Source organism: Homo sapiens, chromosome 20 (genome assembly GCF_000001405.40).
Source record: "Homo sapiens chromosome 20, GRCh38.p14 Primary Assembly".
NCBI lineage: Eukaryota > Metazoa > Chordata > Mammalia > Primates > Hominidae > Homo > Homo sapiens.
The window spans coordinates 39756509-39780830 of NC_000020.11; the positions used below are offsets into that span (position 1 = coordinate 39756509).

Here is a 24322-nt window from a genome sequence, read left to right on the forward strand (position 1 = left end):
CTAAATATATTTATTTTCATCAGCCTAACACATACTCATGTGCACATGTGCATATGTATGTGAGTACAGAGGTATGTGCACATGCATGCAGACTCAGTTGCATAACTTCCATCTACACTTCCAGATCAATTCTACATCCACTTTTACTCTGTTCTGCGATCCAGAAGTCTGACAAGTGTGGCCAACCTCAATGAGTCCTCTCAACTTTTGGCTTCTGGTTGGGGTCAGCAGAAAAATTCAGAGAGAAAGAAGAGTGAAGGGAATTAATGTGTTCTGTCATCTCCCTTCCTATGAGGTATCATGCGTGGCTTCATGTGTTGACCAAGATTACAGCTTCTGCCATATGACTGTTTTTCTCCAGGGGACTGCTCTCTGTCCTCATCCCTTCAGGTCTAGGGCAGTCACAGAGTTCTGGTATTGCTATCCCCAGAACACTACACTGTGGTGTGCCCTTATGGTTACTCTGCAACCTGCTTATGCCTTTGTAAATAGTTGCTTTACTAAACACTTTTGAAGTTGCCAAGTTTGATTGTGCTATCTGCTTTCTACCATGACCCTGATTTATAGATGTACACAGAAGCACTCAGATCAAAGGTCTCATTCAATGTTGAACTAGACTGCCTTTTCAGGGGGCTGGTAACATTGCCTATTGGCCAGTCAAGGTGTCTCTAACTGTGTTTCTAGTCAATCTGAGATATAATAAAAGTGCTGGAAAGATCAGCAGACTTGATCCATTCCTTCACCATGTCTTTCTGCTCCCAGGAGAAGGTCAAGCTCTGTAAGTTTCCATCTAATGGCTTCTTTTGTCTTCATTCCAGCAAAGGAGAGGACTGAGTGGCCCAGATGGAAAGCAGAAATGCAGACAGAGGCCTGTGGAAGAAGAATCTTAAAATAACTAAGCAACTCCAAGAAAACAAGTGAGGATTTATTGGAAACAACTGCCTTGAAAGAAGAAAAAAACACTCCAACTTGGTAAGAAAGATGAGAGGACATAAAAACAAGTCAGATTAGAATCACCATAAGAAAATTAAAAAGAAAGAAAGAAAAAAAGAAAGGGGATAGTCCAAAAAAAAAAAAAAAAAAAAAGTCCAGAGAGCAAAAGTCCAGGATACCTGGGCCTCTGTCTTCCTTTTACCAGCTACGGGGTGATCTAAACTTATATATCTGAGCACTCACTGGCACTGAAAAAAAAAATCACAGAAGTAGAGTGAGGAGTAAGGAAGACGACCTAGAACATCTTTTCACTGGTGTGAATTGACAGAAAAATCAGGCCATTACTTCAAGGAGTGGGATGATGACTTTATGGGGATATCACCTAAGTACAGCCTGACGCCCCATGCTACCCTCACTCCCAAGACCAGCCAAGAAAGATGGATCAGGAAGCCAGGTCAACAGTTCCATCTTTGATACTTACTAGCTATAAGACTGAAGAAGTTGTCCGATATCTTTGTCTCAGTTTTTTTTATATGAAAAATGACAGACAATTCATGAGGTTGTTGTGAAGACTAAAAGAAAGATTAAAAGTATTGCATTGTTATCTCGTATAAAATTAAGACTTAAAAAAATAATTTCCCTCTCTCCATCTCTTTCTTTCTTTTCTTCCCCTTTACTTCCTTCATTTTTCCCTGCCATCCTTCTCCTCTCAATCTGATGTTAAAGCTCTATACAGATATTCGTTATTTTGCTATTGTTGTTGTTGTTGTTGATACTATTATTATTTTTGATACCACTATTATTTTGTTGTGCAGTTTTGTTTTGTTTTGTTTTTTGAGATGGGGTTTTCCTCTGTCACTCAGGCTGGAGTGCAGTGGCACAATCTCGGCTCACTGTAGCCTCCGCCTCCAGGGTTCCAGGGCTTCTCTTTCCTCAGTCTCCTGGGTAGCTGGGATTACAGGCACACGCTAGCACATGCCACCATACCTGGCTAATTTTTGTATTTTTAGTAGAGATGGGGTTTCACAATGTTGGCCAGGCTGTTCTCGATCTCCTGACCTCAGGTGGCCTGCCTACCTCGGCCTCCCAAAGTGCTGGGATTACAGACGGGAGTCACTGCACCTGGCCTGTTGTGCAGTTTTATTTACCCTGGGTTTTTTTTTTGTTTTTTTTTTTAACAGATATTAGCCTCTCTTCAGCCTTTTCCACCCCATCTGGAATCTTACAACGAACTGTTGGGTTTTAACACAGTGTTTTGTCCTATTTTTAAACCAAATTCATTAGAAACCAAGAAAAAGAAGAGAAAAAATCAACAGTAGTATTTCCCAAAGTTAAGGCTTAATTTTATTTTGTGTTTGTTAGTTATGGGTGTTCTTGCTAGTCAATTTTTCCAAGTTAGAGCTCAGGTGGAATTTTATTGCCAATCTGCCTATTGATAACAAAGACCATCTTTTTGAGCACTCAATATTGAGGTGGCATTTCCCCTTCTAGCTTACAGAATCAGGCAATGGATGAAGCAGTTCTGGAAAGGCTTCCTTCCGCCAACTTGGACACATTTTTTCTTTTTCCAGCCCAGATGAACTTCCTCATTTCTCCGCTCTGATGATAAGCCCTGTTTAGGCTCGTGCTTTCATCTGCCTGGGTGGCATCAGAATTCGGGGGACATGTGACCTCAGCTCTTGTGTTTGGATGGCATGTGGCTATGAGACTCTGCTAAAGTAAACAAGTTTTATATAATAGACAATGATGACAATAAAGATAGTAATATAAAAACAAGTTGTACAGGGCATCTACTCTGCTGTGCTAGAGACTCTGGAGAGATGATGTCTATTTCTCAGAACCATGGTGGTTAGGGACCGTTATCCCATTTCTTAAAGAAAGAGGCCCAGGGGGCTGCAAATCTTTACCCAAAGTCATGCACCCACAGCTAGTGAGAGGCAAAGCCAAGATTTTCTTTACATTTTGTGATCTTTTTCTCTCTCAGTGAAAATATTTGCGGCGGTATTTTTCTCCTTACCACATATTAAGCACCATTAAAATTAAGCACATTAAGCAAGTTTGCACAAGAAGAGAGAGAAGAGGAAAATGCAAAGGTAACCAGGGGAGTAGAATGTTCTCTGGCCTTGCTGGGACTGTCCACTCCAGTAGAAACGAAAGGGAGTCCTACAGGAGATGATGCAGCTCAGGTGCCTTCTAAGGTACATTCCTGCCACCCACCTTGCAAGGCAGAGGCTTAAACTCTCGTCTTTTTGCTCCATTCATATCCACAATGCCTCTTAAGATCCTCTGGAGCCTTTCTTACAGACAATATTTTGTCCTTTCCAGACCTTGCTTGGTGAAAATCACGTTAGAAGTGGTAAGTAGAAAGATGAAGACTTCCAGCTCCTTCTGTTACTCTTCCCACCACTTCTGTTCTGAAAAGCTAGACTTGCTCAGGTTTTAGCTGTCATCACTGCTCATCTCATTTCAAATTTTAATGGTAGTGACAAGTACTTTCTTTTCTTCCCCCTCTACTTGTGCTTTCCTGTTTCTCAGTATCCATTCAAATCCCTGCCAAGACTAGAAAGATTCACAGCCTTTATCTCACTGTCTAGCAGAGTTTGAACATATCTCACTGCAGATATGGGGTGAAAGGTATGTTATTATTGAGACTGTGATGCAATGCATCCCCCAAAATTGTTTGTCATTCATTTAACAAATATTCACTGAGTCATAAAGTGATTAAAAATTCAGGCTCTAGAATCAGATTGGCTGAATATGCAGTACAGCCCTGACATTGTTTAAACTATGTAAATCTTGAGTAAGTTACTAAAGCTTCCTAAGCCTTATTTACCTCTTCTGTAAAATGGGGATAATAACGGGTAGGTGTTACTAGGATTAAATGCGTGTCAAGCACTTGGCATGTTTGCCCAGCATAGATTTTGTGAAGTCAGAGATACCTTGATCTCGGCAAGAACTGTGTCTATATGTATCTGAAGGAAGAGGGGAGAAACTGGAGTTTCTATGTGGCTCCAGCTCTGCATGGCTCCTCCTACCTACTGATGTGGCCTTGACCAGGCCCTATTCTCTCTGAGCCTCAGTCTTCTCTTGTCATGGGATAAGACTTTCATAACTACACGAAATATTCAAAACTAATCTTAAATCAGTGTAACTGTTCAATAAAATGATATCTTGCACTCTATATTCCTGTTTTATTAACCTATCAGTGAGGCAGATCTAGGGGCCTTTATCTGGGTTTTAAAGAAGCTACTAGGAATTTTCTTGGCTACAGTCAGGGACATTGTTCAAAGACTGTGTATGTGCAGGGGCAGTGGGTGCAGAGTCATTAGGCACTCATTGGCTTTTCTGAGAAAAATGAGCTCAGGAAAACCAAAATCTTGGCCACTTTTCCATTCTAACACCTCATCTTTCTCTAAGGTTAAGCTAACCTGGTGAGCAGTTCCTAGCCTGGAATAGGCCCCTCTGCCACAGTCAGCTTTAGGGAAATGAGAAAAACAGTCAAAATAATGCAGCCCACGTGACACTCATGCCAGCTTCACCCAGGGAAGGAGTGGAACTTAAGCTCTCCAGCCCCTCCAGGTATCAGCCCGAAAGTTAACATTAAATACAGGACTGTGAGTCTGAATGAGTCCACTGTGGAAGGTTCTCTAAAGGTCGAAGAGATCTATTTGATTCATTTAAATAAATTAAAAAACTTTTTGGAATAACTTTAGATTTGTATAAAGGTCTCAAAGCTAGTCCAGAATTCCTGGTATATTTCTTCTAGCTTTTCCTGATGTGAACATATTATATATTATGGTATATTTGCCAGAACTATAAAATCAACACTGGTAAATTACTAACTAACCTCCAGACTTTATTTGGGTTTCACCAATTTTTCCATGATTGTTCTTTTTTGTTCAAGGATTTAATCTAGTATACTTCACTGAACATAGTCTATGCATGACTTTTAATGTGCTGATTGGTTTTGTGCTGCTATAGAGACATATTTCTGGGTGATCTACAAAGAAAAGAGGTTTATTTGGTTCACAGGTCTGCAGACTGTAAGAAGCCCAACACCTCCATCTGCTTCCTGTGAGGGCCTTAGGAAGGTTCCAATCATGGCAGAAGGGAATGGGGAGCCAACATGTCACAATGTGAGAGAGAGAGAGAGCAAGAAAGAGAAAGAAGAGGAAGGTGTCATGCTCTTTTTAGCAATCAGATCTTTCAGGAACTAATGGAATAAAAACTCACTCATTACCATGAGAACTTCGTCAAGCCATTCATGAAGAATCCACCCCTATGACCCAAACACCTCCTGCTCGGCCCCACTTCTAACATAGGACATCAAGTTTCCTCATGAGATTTGGAGGGGGCAAATATCTGAACTACATCAAATATGTCAGTATTTGCTTTCCGATGTAGACAGTTCTGTGTGTACTAAAAGAGTCTACAATTTGAGCTCTGATTTAAGCATCTTTCCTTCTAGAGAAATCCATTCCTTGTATGTTTATCTTAGTCATATCCCAAGGAAGTGGTCAGGATGCTCAGATTTTACTTAATACCCTTATGAGAAATTATTTTGACTTTTTACTCCTCCACTAGGTGGTTAAACAGTGAATTTCCTTGTTTGAAGAATGCATTGATTATGTGCCAGGCAGTGTGCTAGATGCTTATACAGATTACCTAATTTAATTATCCTAATGTTCCTTTGTGGGAAGTAGTAGTATTATTACTGTTATCCAGACAAAAAGACTGGGTTCCAGAGAGATTTATCACTTGCCCAAATAAAGTGGAAGAACCAGAATTTAAAGCAGTCTTGTAACTTTGAAGACAATTTGCTCCTCTGATGTTTCCATTTTAAGGCCTCTGTTTTGCAGAGCTCTAGCTCTAGAGCAAGAAAAAACCTACGGTTTCTCTTACAGGCTGCAAAGAGATGGTGTTCACCTCTGTGTGCTTCAAGATATGGTTTACATAGCTAATGTACAGTGCTCTTAGTCAGCATTAGTTCAAGATTAAATGTTTCAGAGCCTAAAGAGTAAGATGTCAGTGATTCCTGATGGATCTAAAATAGCAAGTAAATCGTGCAGTGGTTCAAATGCTGGATAAAAGAGCTTATCTGCAGCTGGGCACGGTGGCTCACGCCTGCAATCCTAACACTTTGAGAAACTGAAATGGGTGAATTGTTTGAGCCCAGGAGTTTGAGACCAGCCTGGGCAACATGGCAAAACCCCATCTCTACAAAAAAAAAAAAAATACAAAAAAATTATCTGGGCTTGGTGGCTCATGACTGTAGTCCCAGCTACTTGGGAGGCTGAGATGGCAGGATCGCCTGAGCTCAGGGATGTCGAGGCTGCAGTGAGCTGAGATCATGCCACTGAACTTCAGCATGGGTGACACAGCGAGATCCTCTCTCAAAAGGAAAAAAAAAAAAGCTTATCTGCATTATCTCCCAGCTCTCCTCACAACGTATATACTTAACAGAAGCTTGGCATTTTACTCCTGAATGCCCAGGATACTATGCATACATTTCCCTCCCTGCTGGTAGGTGTTTCTCTGGGAAGAGGAAAACCACAGCACTTTGCCGAGGAAGATTAGAATCAGCGTGGGGAAAATTCTGAATTGGGCGCAGAGGGCTCCGACTGAGTGTGGGATAGGGGGATTCAAGGACAAGGACGGACCAGGAAGGTCATGCATTCAGGCCTGAGACCCGTTTCATCAACCTTGGGTACAGGGTGTGTGCGCATATAACTACACATAAATCCAGATTAAGGAGAGACAGACAAATTTTCCAACACTTGTAGGCACAAATCAGTTCATTTATTTATTCATCTATAGAACAAGCATTTATTGAGTACTTTTGATGAGCTAGGCTCTGTGTCCACAGATTTCTCATCTTAGTCTGCTTCTCAAAGCTTTATTAGGCCTTCCATGGGTGCAGCTATATGCCAGCCTCAGGAAACCTATCTTTCTGAAAAATACATTTTTTTTTCTTTCAAAGGAAAGGAGAAGCTAGTTTCTGAGGGACACAAGAAAATCAAAGAAACCAGAGCAAAGTGCAGGATGCCATATTCCTAATAGCAGGAAGAAAACAGGGTCCTGTTGTACCTTAGTGACCCCGAATTCCTCAGGGTGGAGCAAATGCAGAAGGGCTCCAGGGCCATCTGCATCTGTGATTTTCATTATTGCATCCTCTCTGTCTCTTCCGTCCTGTATATACCAGTAATTAAACTGACAATGAGAAATGCACATCTAGGTGTCAGGATAGAGTGAGTGGGGCCATGGTGGACATTGTGGGAAGGGACAGAATGGATGTGCTCTGCCATGAGTGGACCACCATCACTAAAATGGACAGTTGTTGTACCAAAAAAGAACCATAGACAGAGACCATAGACAGAAAGGACACATACTCCTTTGGGAAATATGTACTGCAGCAAAGAAGGGTCACTTATTGCTATAAATTTTCCTCTACGTACTGCTTTAGTAGTATCTCACAAATGCAAATTTTAATGTATTGTTTTCCTTTTCATTTAGTTCAAAGTACTTTATTTTGATTTCACCTTTGACCCAGAACTTATCTAGAGGTATGTTATTTGTGTTCAGATATTTCTGTTTTTCATTTTAATTTGATTTTACCATGGTCAAAGAACATATTTTTTACAACTTTAAAATTTTAGCCCGGGCACCGTGGCTCACGCCTGTAATCCCAACACTTTGGGAGGCTGAAGTGGGTGGATCATGAGGTCAGGTGTTCAAGACCAGCCAGATCAACATGATGAAACCCTGTCTGTACTAAAAATATAAAAATTAGCCGGGCGTGGTGGCGTGTACCTGTAATCCTAGCTACTCAGGATTGTGTGAGGCAGGAGGCTGAGGCAGGAGAATTGCTTGAACCTGGGAGGCGGAGGTTGCAGTGAGCTGAGATCGTGCCATTGTACTCCAGCCTGGGCAACAGAGGGAGACTTCATCTCAAAAAAAAAAAAATTGAAAATGTGTTAATTTAATAATTTGAAGACTTGTTTCATGGGCCAGAATATGGTTTATCTTGGTAAATATTCTGTGTTCACTTGAAAAGCATTTGTATTGTATTGTTAGGTGGAATGTTCTCTAAACATCAATTTAGTCAAGTAGTTTATTGTGTATTATTCACTTTTCTTTGCATTTACTGATTTTCTGTCAACCTCTTTATCAGTTATTGAGAAAGAGGTATTGAAATCTCTAGGTTTCCACCTGTAATTGCTGATTTGTCTATTTCTTCTTGTTATTTAGTCAGTTCTTTTTTATTTTTTTTCTTTTTTTCCAGAGATAAAGTCTCACTCTATCACCCAGGCTGGAGTGCAGTGATGCAACCTGGCCTCACTGCAACATCAGCCTCCCTGGTTCAAGTGATTCTCTTGCCTCAGCCTCTGGAGTAGCTGGGATTACAGACTTAATCCACCATGCCCAGCTAATTTTGTAATTTTAGTAGAGACAGGGTTTCACCATGTTGGCCAGGCTGGTTTCGAACTCCTGACCTCAAGTGATCCACCCACCTCAGCCTCCCAAAGTTCTGGGATTACAGGTGTGAGCCACTGCATCCAGCCTATTTAGTCAGTTTCTGATTTTTGTGTTTGAAGCTTTGTTTTTGGGCATGTGATATGATTTGGCTGTGTCCCCACCCAAATCTCAACTTCAATTGTATCTCCCAGAATTCCCACCTGTTGTGGGAGGGACCCAGGAGGAGGTAATTGAATCATGGGGGCTGGTCTTTCCCATGGTATTCTCATGATAGTGAATAATTCTCACGAGATCTAATGGGTTTATCAGGAGTTTCTGCTTTTGCTTCTTCCTCATTTTCTCTTGCTATTACCATGTAAGAAGTGCCTTTCACCTCCTACATGATTCTGAGGCCTCCACAGCCATGTGGAACCATAAGTCCAATTAAACCTCTTTTTCTTCCCAGTCTCAGGTACGTCTTTGCCAGCTGCGTAAAAACAGACTAATATAGCATGTAAATGTTTGGGATTGTTATGTCTCTTATGAATTTACATCTTTATCATTATAAAACAATTTTTTTCTATCCTTGGTAAAATTTCTTGCTCTGAAATTTAGTCTGATATTAATATAATCATTACAGAATTTTTTAAAAATGGACTTTATTGTTTTAGAACACTTTTTATACTTACAGAAAATTTGAGAAGATAATACAGAAAGCTCATATACTTCAAGCTATGGGATGAATTGTGTTCAACAAAGAAGGTATGTTGAAGTTTTAACCTCCTCAAAATATGACTTCATTTGAAAACAGTGTAATTGTAAACAACTATTCTAAGTTTATTTTCAAATGACACTAAACCACTTCAAGGATAATGCAGGTATCTTAAACAGAGTATTGTCAGTTCTTCCCTCCAGTTCCTTATAAAATGGTTGTCATTCATTTCATTTGTCTATATGCTATAATTATTCAATACATATTACTATTTTTCTTCTTAACAAATTGTTAACTACTGGATCAATTAAGAATATAAAAAATGAAAGATTTAATTTTGTCTTCATTCCTTCTTCCTGGATGCTTTTCTTTTCTAAGGTAAATCCAAAATTCTGACCTATCATTTTTCTTCTCTTTCAAGAACTGCTTTTAATATTTCTTGCACAGAAGGTCTGTGACTAAATTTCCTGTTTTTGTATGTTTAAGAAAGTCTTTATTTCTTCTTCATTTTTTATTTTAAATCAGGTAAAATTTATATAACATAAAATTAACCATTTTAAAATGAACTGTTCAATGGCATTTAGTACACTCACAATGTTGTACAACTATCACCTCTATTCAGTTCAAAAATTTCACCCTAAAAGAAAATGCTGTGCTTATTCAGCTGTTGCATCTCATTTCTCTATCTTTCTAAGCCCTAAAAACTACCAATTGGGGTCTGTCTCTATGGATTTACTACATCACATATTTTATATAAATGGAATTATACAATATATAATCTTTTTTGCCTGTGCTTCCTTTGGTAGACATAATATTGTTAAGGCACACCCATATTGTAGCATGTATCAGTGCTTCATTTCTTTTCCTGGTTAAATAATATTTTATTGTATGTACATATTATAATTTGCCCATTTATTCATTTATGGGCGTTTGGGTTACTCCCACCTTTTGACTATTGCAAATAGTGCTGATCTTAATATGTGTGTACAGTGTACATGTGTTTGTTTGAGTATGTTTTTAATTTTTTTGATATATACCTATGAGTGGAACTTTTGAATAATGTGGAAAACCTATGTTTAACTTGTTGAAGAACTTCACCCTAACATTTGAAAATAAATTTCACTTGATATAGAATTCTTGGTTGTTCTCTTACTTTTTATTTGGCACTTTTAATATTTCATTGTATTTTCTTCTTGCTTGCATAGTTTCTGATAAGAAATCTGCTGTAATTTTCATCCTTATTCCTTGAGGTAACATGTTTCTTTTCCTCTGGAAGTGCTCAAGATTTTCTCCTTGTGTTTGGTTTTCTGCAGTTTGAATTTGATATATTTGAGTGTAGATTTTTGGCATTGTTCTTGCTTGGTACTCTGTGCTTTCTATATCTGAGGTTTTGTACCTGTCAATAATTTGGGGAATTTCTTAGCCATTATTCAAATAGTTATTCTGTTTCATTATCCCTTTTATTCTGGCACACCAATAACACATATGTCACACCTTTTGGAATGCCCCACTGTTCTTGGCTATTTTGTACTTTTATTTATTTTTCATTCTTTTTTCGTTTCATTTTGAGAAGTTTCTATTGACATGAATTTAAGCTCTTCTGATTTTTTTTACTTGATTTTGTCTAATCTACTGATGAGTCTATTCTTCACTTCTGTTATAGTGCTTTTGTTTCCTGTTTGATCTTTCTTAGAATTTCCAACTCTGTACTTGCTCACATTACCCATCTGTTCTTACATGTTGTCTACTTTTTCCCTTAAAGCATTTAACATATTAATTATTTAAAATTATCTGCCTGATAATTACAAAATCTATGTTATATTTGATTCTGATTCTGATGCTTGTCTCTTCAATTTTTTTTTTGCCTTTTAGCATGCCATGTATACTTTTGTTGAAAATTAAACATGACTTATTGAGTAATAGGAACTAAGGTAAAAGGGCTTTTGTGTACATTGCTATGGAAACTGAGCTAGGCATTGGCTCTGTTTAATGTTTTCTTTATCTATGCGTATTAAAGATTTCAATTTCCTCTGGTGTCCTTGATTTTTTTTTCCTTTTTTGTGTTTGAGTTTTCCTAAAAACTCCTTTTTAATAGTCTGTGCCTTGCAGTTCTTTTAACTGTAATTCACTGTTATTATATGAAAGCTTTGATGACAGGGTGGTAAGGTATACACTTTCTATAATGCTATGATTAAGCCTCAGTCTTTTAGTGGGCTTCTGTCTCTGATCTGTGACCATCCTAAGTGTATCTCAGTGTTTTTTCCCATATTAGGTAAGACATGAAGGGTAGAGGGTGGAGAATGGAGACATTTCCCTTACTGCACAGTGGATATGGCTTTAGTAAAGTCTTTTCTCTTGCCAAGTAGACTTGTCTTATGGAGAATGCTCTGGGCATATTTCAAAGTGGTTACTTTATCCTTCCTTCTGCCATAAATGTAAGGCTTTTCTCTTGCCTCTTTACTGTGAGAAATGGGTAGGTTTTCTGTTGTTTTCAGGAGGTAAAAACCCAAGGAACAGTAGAGGCTTCCCTAAGAGTGTGGTTTCTAGGAATTCTTCACTCTCCAGCTACTTCACACTAAGACTCCAGCAATTTATTAAAATTATGATTTAAGCATTACTATCAGCTAATGGCTCCAGCTACTTCTGCTCCAAGTAAGCTAGTCATGGCTGCAGAACCATGCAGTTTCTTATCTTTCTAGATTTCTTGGTGGTACTTTGCCCTGTGACCTCAATTCTCTGATGGACTCAGAAAAAGTCATGATTTTTGGTTTGTTCAGGTTTTTTTTTTCTTATTGTACGAATAGAAGTGATAACCTTCAAGACCTTTACATGTCAGAGCTAAAAGCCAGTATTTATTTCACTGGTGTTAGTATAATATATCCTTTCCCATCATTTAACTTTTAGTCTATTTGCATCTTTATATTCCAATATTTTTATAGGTAACATTTAGTTAGGTTTTGTTATTTTATCCAATCTGACAATCTCAGCCTTTTAATTTGAGAGTTTAGGTCATTTACATTTAATATATTTATTAATATGGTTCAGTTTAAATCTATTCTCTTTCTCTTTGGTTTCTGTCTGACTAATTTCTTCTCCTGTTTTTTTCTTCTACCCTCTGTTTAATTAATTGAGTACTTTCTGCGATTCCATTTTATATTCTTTAGCTCTTGTCTATTATTACATTTTACTGGTTGCTTTAAAGTTTATAGTTTACAATATATATTCTTAACTTACTACAGTTTACCTTCAAGTGATATTATATACTTTGTATGCATTATAAGAACCTTAAAATAGTATACTTCTATTTCTATTTCATTTCTCTGGGCTTTTTTATTTTTATTTTATTTTATTCTATTTTATTTTACTTTTGAGACAGAGTTTCACTCTGTCTCCAGGGCTGAAGTACAGTGGCATGATCTCAGCTCACTGCAACCTCTGCCTCCCAGGTTCAAGCAATTCTCCTGCCTCAGCCTCCCAAGTAGCTGAGATTACAGGTACCCACCACTACACCCAGCTATTTTTTTGTATTTTTAGTAGAGACGGGGTTTCACCATGTTGGTAAGGCTGGTCTTGAACTCCTGACCTTGTGATTCACCCGCCTCGGCCTACCAAAGTGCTGGGAATACAGGAGTGGGCCACTGATTCTTTTCTGGGCTTTTTTGTTACTGTGGTAATACCTTTTAGTTTTATATATGTTATAAAGTATGCATCACATATTTATTATTTTGTTTAAACAGCCAATTGCATCTTGAAGGATTTAAACAATAAGAACAAAATCTTACATATTTGTCCACAGACTTAATATTTCTTGTGCTATTTATTTGTTTAAAACATGTGTATTAGGCAGAAGAATAGTCTTTTACCTCCATGATGTCAATGTCATAATTTGCAGACCCTTTGAATATTTTAACATATATAATGAAAGAGATTTTGCAGATGTGATCAAAGTTAAGGACCTTGTAATAGGAGCTTATCCTGGATTATTCAGAAGGCCCTCACTTAATCACTTAATTCTCTAAAAGGAAAGAACCTTTCCTGGCTGAAGTCAGAGGCTGAGGTCAGAGGAAGACGTGACTATAGAAGAATGATCATAGGATTGCAATATTGCTGGTCTTGAAGACAGAGGAAGGATGTGGGTTACATCTAGAAACTGGAAAAGGTAAGGAAACAGATTCCCCTTCAGTACCTTCAAAAAGAAACACAACTTTGCCAATATCTTGATTTTTAGCCTAGTGCTCTCTGTGTCAGTCTTATGATCTATAGAACTATACGATAATAAATTTGTTTTTTTAAGCCACCAAGTTTGTGGTAACTTGTTAGAGTAGCAATAGAAAACTAATACATGATGTATCATCAGTGAGAATACCATCACCCCCAAGAGGATGAAATTGGTTCTTGGATGCCAACATACTTTTTTATGTATAAATATTACTTTTTGTGTGTAAATCATGAATATGCATGCAGTACATAAATAGATATACAGTGTATCTGTGGCATTAAAACTTTATGACTTAGTACTTAGGGAAAAAAGTCTAAAAAGACTCCTTAGGGGATGATAATAAGAAACACTTGAGAAACACTGGTTCAGATGCATATTTTCATCGTCTTATTTTCCTTCAGCCTGAAGTATTTCCTTTATTGTGTCTTGTGGTGTAACTTTACCATCTGTAGGTGGTAAATTATTTCAGTGTTTCTATGTCTGAAAAAAACTTTAGTTTGCTTTCATATTTGAAAAATACTCTTGCTGGGTATAGAATTCTACATTGACAGTTTTTTACCCCTTTTATTACTTTAAAAGATTGTTGCACTGTCTTTTGTTTTTCTGGTTTCTGACATAAAGTTCACTGTTATCCCTAAACTTGCTCTTCTGTGTTTAACATGTCCTTTTTCTTTGTCTATTTTGAAAGTTTGTACTCATCACTTGTTTTGAGAAATTTGGTTATGCTCTGCTTTGGGTTAGTTTTCTATGTTTGGTGTTTATAGGGCTTTTCAAATCTACATATTTATAGTTTTAATCTAACTTGGAAACATTTGGGCAACTGTTTCCTCAATTTTTGTTTTCTTCTCCTCTTTTGGGTATTCCAATTTAGTGTATATTAGATCTCTTAAAATCGTCCTATAGATCACTAATGCTTTTCTCCATTTCTTTTTTACTTTTTTAAAGTATTTGATTTTGCATCATTTCTATTACCATGTCTTCAAGTTTACTAATGTTTCTTCCAGTTATATCTAAGCTACATACATCATAGATCTTTCTCTCAAACATTTTACATTTTACCAATAATATTTTGGTTTATATTTATATTTGTCCTGTCTCTACTTAATTTTTAAACATATGAGAAAAATTATACATCCAATGTCCTTGCTTACTAATTTTAATATCTGTGCTGATACTGGGAAGTTTTAATTTATTGATTTTTTTCTTATTATTTTAGTTTTTGTTTGCATACTTGGTAATTCTTGATTGTGTACCAGATATTGTGAAGTTTGCATTTTTGGATGTTTGATGCTTGCATGTGTGTGTGTGTGCATGTTCTTAACCTTTGTTCTGAATAAGGTTACTTGAAAACTGGTTCTCTAGAATTTTGTGTTTTAAGATTTGTTAGGGGAGACCAGAACATTGTTTATTCTACGACTAATCTTTCTCTAGTACTGAGGCAAGAACCTATGCTGAGAAAAATATGAGCATTTCTTTGAATTCATTAAGAGAGGGTGTTATTATTGATCAGCCGTGTCAATCATGGAGAGCAGATGGAAGAGGTAGCACATGTACCCATTATCTGCATTCTATATTATGTATATTCGTGTAATAAAGAACCAAGAATGATTACCTTGGAATTTTCCCAAGATACTGAGATACTCCAAGTAGGGGGGCATCAGGGAAGATGACTGAGATTATTACTCACATTTTAAAATAAGTAAGGTCGAAGAGGCTAAATGACTTTTTAAATTCAATGAGACTTCAATGCAAGAACCAGGATTTGAATTCCATTTAACCCCATTTTTAAATAGCCAATTTAATTGGAGAGATGGAAGCAAAATGACAGACAATGAAAGTGATATTGGGGCTTCACAAGACTATTTCACTGTCCCTTAACTACATTATGTAAGTTGCTGTGTCATCTACCCATTCTAGGTGAGGACCACACGTGGAAAAGGGAGGCTGAGAATGTAAGACATCAGCAGAGTGTGGATCTGATAGCTGTGTTGGGACTAATGGAAGATAGATGGTTTGAGAGGTAAGGAGATGGCTGGGCACTGCTGGGAATGTTTTGAAGGCACATCTGGGCTAAACAGGGAGTATCATGAATGATTAGCAGTATTTGCTTTGAGCTTGGTGAAATGAAGGTAAAGGAGTGTAAATAAAGGCCATTATGTTAACAACCTAGGCTTCTTTTCACAAGATCATGACAAAGACCTTGGTGGATAAAATCTTGCTGGTTGTATTACTTTTTTGTTTATTTGCAGTTAGTTAGTTTGAAATTTCCTAGGTGAAACCATTTCCCCTTATTGCAAATATTTTTCATGGGACTATTGATGTCATTCTTCCACTCCCTTGCAGCAGGATGGACAGATAACCACAGAACCCACCAAAATTCTTCTCTGGAAATGATGCATATATATATGCAGGCACATAAAAATATTTATATAGAGATATATATCTTTTCTATATATAATACACATATTTTATAGATAAAAATATTTTATCTATAGAAATATACACTTTTCTCTCTATATATTTATTAATATTTAAATTATATTTATATGTTAGAATATATAGAGAAATATATATAGAATATATATAGAGAAAATACATATTTTCTATTTTCTCTATATATTATTTACATATTATATATAGAAAATATATATATTATCTATATATTTCTACATGTATTCTATATATTTCTGTATATTATATATAATTATATATTATATAGAAATATATATCATATATTAAAATACATAATGTATATTCAAATACTTTGTTTTTATATATAAAATACTTTTATATAACAGTATTTCTATAAAAATAAATATTTTATATATTTCTATATATCTATATTTCTATGTCTAGCATAGAAATATATATATTATTAAAAATATGTAATATATATTTTTATAGAAATACTTTGTTTTGGTTTGCTGAGCTATAAAAATATGTCGGGGGCTAACAGTGAGCATCTCTTCTAGTTTCATGGTGAAGATGATGATGGTAAAGGGTCTGGACTGAGCCACACTTGAAAGATAACAAATATACTTGAGAATCTCAATTGAGCCATTCCTGAAACTAACATGAACTTCCTTGTTATATAGGCCAAACAATTCCATTATGTTCTTAAACCAGTATCTCAGTTTGGTTTCCCCAGAAGCAGACCTTGAGACAAGGATTTAAGTGCAAGTTCTTTATCTTAGAGATAATACTAGGATATAATAGTATGAAAGAAGAGAAGCAAAACAAGGAACAGAAGACAGTCACTAAAAGTCTTCTTATCCAGGCAGTAACCACAATACATAATTGGAGCGTAATCTCTTTGGGAAACCTTAGGAGCCAGTATAAAAATGTGTCTGCAGATTATCCCACCTGTGGAGAGAGGGGTTGGGGGTATCTATGTACTATGCCCTTTAGTCAGTTATTGAGTTGTGATCCCAGGAGACATCAATTCCTGGAAGTTCTGGCTGCCTTGTGGGTGGGTGGCAGCATGGGCTCGTAGAACCAGAGGAAGCCCTCAGGCAACGAAATGCAGGGCTGGCCAATTTAAGTTGGGCTAGTGTGGACTGAGGTGAGGGTGAAGAGACATGAGTGTCGCAAAGGCGAGGTCTGTCGCAGCTTCACTGAGTTGAATTTCCATCACCTGCAACAGAGAGTGCTGGGAGAATTCAGGGCCCCTCATGTGCTCTCAGACCTGATCCATGCCACCATCCAGCTTTGTAGAGAAGGCAGCACTGTTTCCCTTTCTTGAAGGATCACCCTGCCCTCTAGGTGGCATATGTGTGTACCCCAAGATCTAGACACTGAGAATGGAACTCGGTAGCCTCTCTGCGGAGAAAGACAAACCCTTATGAAGATCAGATGAGGCTTTCATTGCAGGAGGCCTTATACTATTTACCCACTGACAACTTCTTTCTCATGAAAGTTTGTTTTCAGGGTTGTGCCCTGCCTAATGTGATTTGTTTATTTTTCTTGAGTGAGAACCAGCTTTGGCTTTTAGGATTTGGCCTCAGTTGTATTTCCCATTAGTCATTTTCCCTGCAATAAATGTTGTTGGCTGTAAAGTTGGAGTCCTTTTAGCACAACTGGGAGGGGCTTGAGGCTCCCAAATATTGGCCTTTTTCTAGAGGAAGCAAAAAGAATAGCATGAGGTAAAGAAGAGTGTCTGAAGTCAGTAACTATTGTTTTGATATGCTTAGATTTTACCCCCACATCTTATTCTTTACCCACCCAAATCTTTGACACTAGAACATGAGAAGGAAAATAAGGCAGGCAGGCAGGAAGTGATGGTGGTACAAAATTAGGCTGGAGTGATGGGCAGGAACCATCTCCCTTAGTTCTAAGATCAACCCAAGGAAGGTCATGTCCTCAAGGAAGGATGGATCATTCCCACATTCAAACTGTAAACACCATCATCTCACTTTTTATAAAGGCTTTCTTATGAGCTCCTGAAGTTGAGCGTTAACTGGTAAATGTGATCGTGTACCACATTCCCCCTCCTCTCTTGCCCCAGACCCTGCCAACACTACAATCTTCATCAGATCACACCCAATCAGAGAACACTTAGTGTAGATACTAAGAGTTGGGGGTGCATTGTTCAAAATCTCTGATCTTTGGTAAAGTTCACTCATTAAGTCTGTTTTTTTAAGCATCTGATCCATTCCAGGGACCGTTTTAGACACCTGCAATAAAGTGATGAAAAAGAAAGACAGTCTCAGTCCTCAAGAAACTTCTGTTCTGATTAGATAGGCAGAAGACAAATAAGAAAGACATTAATTCAATAGTTATGCAACATCTCTGTGCCTTAGTTTCCACCAACATATGTGAAATGGAGTCAATAAAAACACCCACTTTGTGTTGTAAGAGTTAGATGACCTAAGATGGAATCGATGGAAGAGACCCTCGCTTATTCATCATTGCTCCCTGTGTATCCATTCTCTGGTAGAGGCTGAATTCTAAAGATTCTGGTCAGCAAAGCCCTAAATCTGAACATGCTTGAATCAGATGAATTCTGCAAGGGACTGGCACAGAATAGGGAACCCTTCTTGTGCTCTGGACACAAACCCTAAGCCAGGTGTACCTGGACATCATTTTCTAGGATGCACAAAGGGTCTTCATTCATTAATGCCTTGCACATGTCAGAAGGGAAGAGAGGCTTTGGGCCTCAGCCTTGCCATTCAGACCCAGCTCCTTACTGGTACAACCCTTCCATATCCCTTACTTCCAGGGCCTGGGAGCATGGTCTGCAATGCCCAATCATGTCTGGATGTGCCTCCAGGTTCAGACATTACTATCCCTGCTTTTTCTGGTTTTCATTTCCTTTTCTTGTGTGCTAGGCTTTTGAAATACATATTGCAGCCACTTGTTGCCCTGTTTTCTAAGCTGCCTTGAACTGCTGCCAGAGGCTGTTGCCAGAGGAGCTAATGACTAAGTCACTCTCCTTTTGGCCTCTGGCAGGACTGGAAATCCACTTGGGGATGGGGTAGCAAAGGCCCAGCCATCCTGAACCAATCAGGAAACCACAATAAAAGTGCCGACCAGGGAGTCAGTCACTCACCCTCAAAGCTCAGCGCTGAGCTCAGCATGGAGGTGTCCACGAGGCTGGGGATGCTCTAGTTTGCTTCTGCAGAACCACATCAGAAGCAGAGACTCAGGCACAAAGGCAGGACCTTCAGAGAAGCCTTGGGGGGTATCCCAGGGTCAGCAGGAAAGAGAAACTCACTGTGTTTCTGAGCCAGGAAAGACAGAGAACAGCAAAGAAACTCCAGGCTGTGAGCCAAAGACGGCAAACCCAGGTGAAGTAGATTATGAATAACAATAATAAATAATAGTTAACAGCTATTTTGAACTTACTTCATGTAAGGCCTTATCCAAACACTTTTAAAGTCCTACCTCATTCAGTTCTTCCAATAACCCTGTCAGATAGGCTCTATTATTTTTCTCACTTTCAGAATAGGAAACTGAGTCACAGATTTAGTTTGCAGTGGCCCAATGTTGTCCCAGTGATTCCCTCTTACAGGACAATTGCAATCCTCTTGGTTAGTAATCCTGATTTCAAAATGCATTTCCCAGTTGGTTTATTTGTTCAGGTGTATCCAGCACTTGTACTGAGAGCTCAGGATAGAGAAGATAAGACAGTCCTGGTCTTTGTCTGGCTGATTCTGATGGCCACAGCATCTCCAGCCACCCATTTTGACCTGTTCTTGTTTTCACCTTTGCTTTCCATTATTTATGGGGGTTTATAGTACAGTAAACCATTAGGTTGGTGCAAAAGTCATTGTGGTTTTTGCCTTTAATTTCAATGTCAAAAACCACAATGACTTTTGCAGCAATCTAATAGTTTCTATTTTCTGCCCATCTCCTACACCTTCATCTCTCTTGGATTTGCCATCACCTAGAATGTGCCTCTTCCCTATCTACCAATTTTGCTCTTTTGAGTTCTGCCTGTCCTCCAAGTATCACCTACAGTTTCCAATGTTGCTGCCTTCATTAAGCTTTTCACAAGAACCCCAACCTCAGGTCTTCTCTCTCTCCTCTGAACTGAGGGGATGAACACTTTGCAGCAAGTTTAGAGATTTTTACCTCATACTTCCTTGCATTGTCCATTTCCTTTATAACTGAAGAGAAATGGCCGTATCTTATCACTCTTTCAGTTTCTTCCATATGCTATTATGGAGTAGTTAAAAATAGCTTATGGATTAAGGAAATAATTTAACAAAAAGGATATGGTGGGCAGCTTCTAAGAGGGCACTATGATCCCCACCTCCTGGTATTCACGTCATTATGTAACCTTCTCCCCTTGAGTGTGGGCAGAACCTGTGACTTTCCTCTAGCCAATACAATACAGCAATACTTATAGGCTGCCACGTCTATGGTTAGGTTATGTAAAGTTGTGAATTCCATCTTGTTAGTAGACTCTCACTGGCTTTGAAGAAGCAAGCATCCATGTTGGGAAGGCCTACCTGGCAAGGAAATGAGGGCAGACTACAGCCAAGGAGAAACTGAGGCTCTCAGCCCCACAGCCATTAAAGAACTGAGTTTCGCCATCAACTCCATGAGGTTAGAAGCAGATCCTTCACAGTGCAGCCTTCAGATGAGACCTCAACCCTGGCTGACGGTTTCAGTTATACTTTGAGACACCCTGAACCAGACAGCCCATGTAAACTGTGCCCTCGTTGCTGACCCACAGAAATTACAAGATGATAAATGCATGTTGTGTTAGTCCATTATATTTGTGGTAATTTGGTACACAGTGATGGATAATACAGGAAGGTTCAGCAGACAAAGCCTTTTTGGAAGAATTCAAATGGATTGAAAAGTATAACTAAGGAAAGCAAGAGAGTGAGGTGACATTTGAGGCTGGGGAAGTGTGTGAGCAATGGCTTTATGGAATGTTCACAAAAGAGTTCCAGGCAGACCTGGAGATGTAGACAGGAAGCTAACTGGGGAGGCCTTAAAGCAAAAAGAAGAAAAAAAATACCAAGCCAGAAGAAAGAAAAATGGTGACAATGTAGAGAAATTGTGATAGTGAGGGGATACCTCCATGAACATTGAGAATGAGAGAAGACGGAGATGCTCCATTCATACCAGATGGCCTTTACCTTCGTATAAATGCAGGTTCTCAGGTTATCTGCTGAAAGCAAGAGAGGAAGAGGGCTTTTTAGTGTAACAATACTATTGATGACAATAAGTCACCATTTTACATCTCACTTAGGCCTCACAGCCTCCTTATGAGAGGTTTTATTTCCATCTACACTTTGTAGATAAAGATTAAAACATTCAGAGAGATTAAGTTACTTGCTAATTGTCATCCAGTTCAGAAGTGGCAGAATTTGGAAACAAACTCAGATCCTAGAGCCATGGTGTCATACTGAGGTTCTGGAACATTTTTCTGCAGATGCTGTGGGGAACATGCTCTTTGCCAGTGCTGTTTTACTGCTCTGTGTCAAGAGTGCTTTGGGAACAGTGACAGAAAACATGATGGGTTTAGACTCAGAAGGAGGAAGTGGTAGAAAACATGATGGGTTTAGATTCAGGAGGAGAAGGTGGTACAAAACATAATGAGTTTCACCTCAGGAGGAGGAAGTCTAGCAGGAGATAGAAACAGGCAGAAGAGAGGCTTTTTTATTGAGAAGACATGAAGTAATCTAGTGTATCAAGGTAAATTTTTCAGGAGGTGGAAGACAACCAGTGTGTGAAGGTTGTAGCTACTGGAGCATCTGCACACAGGAAAACACGAGCTTCCCAGAGACTTCAGATCAGAAAGCCTAGCTGAGCTGTGAAAGAAGACGGAAGATGAGGGACTGGCTCCAATTATAAAGTAAATCATAGAGTAAGATGGTGAATGGAGATATGTAGGTAAGGGATACAGGAAACCTGTCCACTTCATTCCAATAAACATTGATATACATGCTCATAGATTAATTGAATCTTTCACTGTGATTCCCGGACAAAGCAGTACCATCTCTGAAATAAAAGCCTCTATTTTCTGTTTCCATCTTTATGAGTCAAGCAGTTGTTATCATGTTTTTAGAAAACAAATGTAGGCTTCAAATTCGTAGTTACTCCGGCCTATTCAATGAAAACAACAATCATATGTCAAAATGATACGATGGCATGATGGTTCAGGATGGACTGAGTTGGCATGAGAGTTTACCAAGGAGGATGGAAGCATTTTCCAACTTTCAGAAAAAGAGTGATGGTGTGCTCACCTTTTTGGCATAATCCTGGGGTATTGAGAACCAGCCCTCATGCGATACTGAGAAAACCACTAAGAAGGCAGCTATGACGTTTCTTTCCTATTTTTTTCTCAATGCCTAGCTCTGTGTTTGGTGCCTAATAGGTGACTTATAAAAGCATATTGACAGAATGAATGAGTGGGGAATAACTTTGTATGTTGCTTTGCTCAGTCCCTTTGCAGTCTATTTTAGATAAACATACATTCTAGTGAGTACCAGGAATTAGACAGCACATATGCAGTTCAGAGACTGAGGGTCTGAGAAGTCCAGACTCCTCTCCCAGCTCTCCTCTCCACTTACAGAGGAAACCAACCTCCTCTTCTCCCCCCACCTCACAGAAGAGGGAGGCCAGCTCTAATGGCCTTGGCCCCAGTTTGCTTGTATAATTAATGTGGGATTTTTCCTCCTCTAGTAAAAAATGACCTTGTCAAACAAGAGACGACAAAATCTTGGTTACTGAGCAACTGTGGACTCCCTGCTGGGATGGCATCCTGGGCCTTGCAAAGAGAAATCTAATAAAATTGGTGTCAGGGGCTCCCTGGGTGCCAGTTCCCCTGCTGCCTGACCCCACAATCCCAATTTATTAGCCAAACCCAAGAAAGCAGACAAACCTCACTGGCTCCAGACAGGAGACTTCCAAGTGGGAGCTAATGTGGGGGCTGGGGCTAGGCTTCAGCAAAAATGACAAGGGAAATGACAGGAGGTGCCAGCCGACCAGGGAGCCTGGGGAAGCCTTATTCAGAGCATCATGCTGCCTTGACAGGGCCGGTTTCAACTTGGTAGAAGAATGTGTTAGAATGGCCCATTGGGAAAGGAAGTGTTTTTTCTCTCTTTGTACTGTTATTTGCAGGGCCATGGACAGCATGTCTTGCATTAGCCATGTTCCTGGGAGTCAGCAGGCGTCAGTAGAGGAATAGCCAAAGAAAAATATTTGCATGTGGAGTTTTCATTTTGTAAACTGAGCACTTCTTCAAGTACAAGAGAGTTTTAAGTGTACAGTCACTATTTACCCTTCCACACAACCAAAACTCCCTGCGATAGGAAACACTGATTTGCATTGTACACTAGCTGCACTCCTTATTAACTAAATGATCTTGGGAAAATTTCTTAACTTCTTCACCTATAAAATGAGATAACAGTACTATTCTCATAAGGTGAGGATTCAAATATGAGAAAAACAGAATAAACCCACAAAACGATAGCAAGTCACTATACCAGCAAAAATCAGCTAGAAAAAGAAAGTCTATTTCAAATAGCAATGAGAACTCTAAAATGTCTAGGAATTGTCTTAACAAATAATATATAAAGCCTATGGGGGAAAGTGTCAAAACTCTAATAAAGGACATAAAAAACCATCTGATAATTTTAAAGATATTCCATGCTTATGAATGAGATGTCTTAATATTTAAAGTTACCAATTATCTTCAAAGTAAACTATGAACTTAATGCAGTGACAACCTAAATTTCAGACAGATTTAAAAATATCTAGAGACTAGAAAAATGCACACAAATGTATATGATATAAAAATATAAAAGCCCATAAATAGGTCAATTTTGGAAAAGAAGAACAAAAAAGAGCAATGTACTGCACTAAATGTTAAGATATATTACAAAGTCATAGAAGTGAAAACAGTATGGCAGTGGCCCCCAAAATGAATAAACACATCAGTGGAACAGAAAGGAACATTCTCAGGGAGTTATATGCATACCTGAGCAGGTGATATATATATATATATATATATATAAAAGATGACAACAAAAATAAGTGGATAACATTTTATCTGTAAGTTTTAACTGATGGTGCTGAGAAATTTGACTTACCACGTGGATGACAATGGAAATCCTTTTACTACAAATAAAAGGGTGTCCAGATGGATTAAAGTCCAAAGTGTAAAACATGAAACTTGAAGTTTAAACAAAGAAAATATTATTAAGATTAGGAGCACAGAAGGATTTCTTAAAAAAGTCTCAAATATCACAAATCATATGTTGTCAAAGTTAAGAATCCCTGATCATAAATACCATAGACATGGTTAATAAACAGTTGACAGATTGGCAGAAATTACTTGCAAGTTATTTGCAAATTTTAAAATTAGCAAAGGACGAATATCTATAATGTATAAGAAACACCCAAAAGTCATAGAAATAGAATGAAGGGAAAATGTATGAGTAGGCAATACACAGACAAGGTAGTCCTAGTGACCAATAAATAAATAAAAAGATACTGAAACTCATTAGTAAACAGAAATATGAGTGGAAAAATGCAATATTACT

The 24322-nt window shown here is 38.2% G+C and overlaps 1 long non-coding RNA gene across 2 annotated transcripts in view; it reads left to right on the forward strand.

The window, feature by feature from the left end:
* The first annotated feature begins 693 nt into the window (after positions 1-693).
* Positions 694-24322, forward strand: part of LOC105372614 (uncharacterized) — a 58827-nt gene continuing 35198 nt past the window's right edge. The window contains exons 1-5 of one of the 2 annotated variants that reach the window (XR_936714.3): positions 694-972; positions 7447-7496; positions 9080-9150; positions 13123-13259; positions 15237-15339. This is a non-coding gene — a long non-coding RNA (uncharacterized LOC105372614). The remainder of the gene's footprint in view (positions 973-7446; positions 7497-9079; positions 9151-13122; positions 13260-15236; positions 15340-24322) is intronic. The other variant, XR_001754592.2, reaches the window with a different exon arrangement.